The 3,052-nt window shown below is 40.1% G+C and overlaps 1 annotated feature.

The window, feature by feature from the left end:
* Nucleotides 1,076-2,275: an enhancer, noted in NCBI's record as "BRD4-independent group 4 enhancer chr15:56332364-56333563 (GRCh37/hg19 assembly coordinates)". NCBI's record gives its function as "activates an origin of replication core promoter dependent on BRD2, P300/CBP, MED14 and CDK7 cofactors, and independent of BRD4, by STARR-seq in HCT116 cells {active_cell/tissue: HCT116}" and the evidence as "EXISTENCE:reporter gene assay evidence [ECO:0000049][PMID:35650434]".

The following is a 3,052-nucleotide window of genomic DNA, read 5'->3' as shown; positions in this document are numbered from 1 at the left end:
ATTTAAAATGTACTGGGTAGAGGGAGAGGTGGGAGAAATAGGAATTTATCTTCAAATAAGCAATAAAGCATCAATTGTGTTGGGTTCATTGCATATCTGTGATTATAAATAGACTTTTAATTTGTCTATAGAGTTCTGTCTATCCTCCATGAGCTTGGCGTGACAAGTCTGGTTTTGTTTTGTTTTGTTTACCTTGACAGATAAGAAAGGAATCTTGAAGCAGCACTTGCCTTGTGTCAGGGGATTTAACAGGACAGGTCTGGGCCCCTGAACTACAGGTGATGTTAAAGAACCATGACTTTAATCTTTAAAATATTCTACAATTGCAGGAACATGTGAGAGCAAGAGTTGAACTCTGTGTCTCAAAAGTAACAAAAGGTCTCACATTTCATCCCTGGCCAGAAGGAGTTAGAAATGCCTGTTCTGGGCACCTTGCATCCAGGCAGTAAGTTTGAACCATCAATCTGTACTGGATCTGTGTTTCTTCCCTTCATGGTGTGGTTGGGATTGGTGTAGCTGTCAGGTGGAACTGTTACACCAAAATGTCCAGGGCTTAATGGAATCCATCATTAATATGGTCTCAAAGATTTTTACATATTTATAGTTTTCTCCATTCCTACATGATGACAGAATGTGAAGGATGTATTCACTTTTTGTGTCACAGCTAAAGATAATTATCAAGCTAATATATTCCTTGCCTGTTTATTTTTTCTTTAAAGAAAGGGTCTCGATCTGCTGCCCAGGATGGAGTGCAGTAGTACAATCATAGCTCACTGCAGCCTCAAACTCCTGGCTCAAGAGATCCTGCCACCTCAGCCTCTCAAGTAGCTGGGACTATAGGCATGCATCACCACACCCAGCTAATTTTTTTAAATTTTTTGTAGAGATGGGGTCTTGCTATGTCGTTGCCTAAGCTGATCTTGAACTCCTGGCCTCAAGCAATCCTTCTACCTTGGTCTATTTATATAAATATTGGTATTATATCCAGAACAAAATAATGGGGTATAAAAATGATTAAGACTTGACCATTTGCTATTATCTGAAAATAATCTTAACACACTAAATAATAAATAACTATATCCCACTCCTTAAATCCTAAAAAGCAGGGGTAGGGGAATCTTAAGTGGTGACCCTTTTCTGGTAAAACACTAAAAACCATCTTAAAATACTAAGAAAAATCTGAAACAATAGTAGAAAAATAAAAAATTCTACATATAATTTAAAGAAAGTTCTGATATGGAGGTTAAAACTGGATGACAGAGCCATTGACCACACTGAGGTGGCAACATCTTCAGTCACAGCTCACAGCAGTCGTGGGCTTTCCACGAGTGGGACTCCCTGGAAAACTTACACACAATCTGATCACTAAAAGCAAAGATCCTCAGGTATACATCTCAAAGAGAAGAGCCTTACATTTTCTCCTGTGTGACCTAAAGCAATGACATGGGATTTTTGCACCTCAGTTGCCTTATCTGAAAAAAATGGGATGCCTGCCTCCTAGGATTGTTTGACAATTAAGAGTAAAACTCTTAGATGAGTGCACAGCACAGTTTAACTGTTACCAATTAGTATTATTACCTCACACCTAAGGAAAGAAGGAAATAGACAAATGGGAAAAAAAAGGTGGGGGTGGTTAGAATTAGCTAAAGGTGATGCCCTAATCAAACAGCCCAGGGTCTCTCCCTTCTGGTCCTAAATTGTATTTCAATTCAGGAAATTCCAGGATTGCATCAGCCGAATGAGGTAACTGGCTTGTCATCTGAACACTTTGCCAGCACGTGATGCTATTATGTGAGCCCGCTGTTCCAACGTGAGTCACACATGTGAGCTGCAGCCACTTCTGCAGATGGAATAAAGTGTGTCAAGGTACAAGAACTGTACTTTCTCCTTTTTTTCTCACCTTGAACCTGAAAATCATGTGGGATTAATTTCCTAAGTATTTGCTCTACAGTTAACTCCAAATTATCCATGCTAGTGGAGGGAAAGAAAGACACAGATGGACATGAACAGTGACTGCTTCAAAAATGCCTTATAACTTGTGACTTTTGTAGTTAGAATTCTATATTGAGAATTGGTACCTAAATGTTCTGGAAACAAAACTTGAAGCAAAGTAAGTCTTGCTCGCCAGGCACGGTGACTCATGCCTGTAATCCCAGCACTTTGGGATAATGAGGCAGGTGGATGGCCTGAGCCCAGGAGTTCGAGACCATACTGGGCAAAATGGTGAAACCCTATCTCTACCAAAGAGATTTTTTTAAAAATTAGCTAGGCGTGGTGGCACATGCCTGTGGTCCTGGCTATTCAGGAGGCTGAGGTGGGAGGATCACTTGAGCTTGGGAGGTCAGGACTGCAGTGAGCCATGATAGTGCCACTGCACTCCAGCCTGGCCAACAGACTGAGACTGTCTCAAAAAAAATTAAATTAAAAAAATTTAAAATTAAAGTAAGTCTTGCTAGAAGACTGACCCCAGACAAACCAGAAAATTCATCCCAGACTTCATTCCATAACCTAGTACAAAACCATGCTGTTTTTCTCTTCTGAGGCAAGAGGAGCCATAGCATCTGATGGGGGACATTATCAGCCTAACTTGCATGGTTGCATTCTCATGCACTTCATGGGGAGAAGGAAGATAGTTAATCATTCCTGACAGCTGAATATAATTGTGACTAGAGCCTCAGTCTCTTTATCATTCTGAAGGTGGTATGCAATAGAAAGAAATAACAAAGAAAATGATGATATCACCTGAGAGTTTAAGTTATTTTTTAAAATTCATGAATAGTATAGTTTATGCAATACGTAGAAATCAGCTCTTCAGTAGACTGACCCTGGGAAAACTGGTTGGAGTTTTTTTGTTTTGTTTTGTTTACAAGGGTGGAGACAGCAAGGAAGGAAGGGAGAGAGAAATATCAGACTTACAATCAATGATACACACACACACACACACACACACACACACACACACACCAGTTTTATTGAGTTGTAATTACTTTTTGAGACAGGGCTGGAGTGCAGTGGCATGATTACAGCTCACTGCAGCCTTGAACTCCTGTTC

The sequence above is a fragment of the Homo sapiens genome, chromosome 15, assembly GCF_000001405.40.
Source record: "Homo sapiens chromosome 15, GRCh38.p14 Primary Assembly".
NCBI lineage: Eukaryota > Metazoa > Chordata > Mammalia > Primates > Hominidae > Homo > Homo sapiens.
Note: the sequence above shows the minus strand (reverse complement) of the source record. Positions and strands in the feature narration are given on the sequence as shown.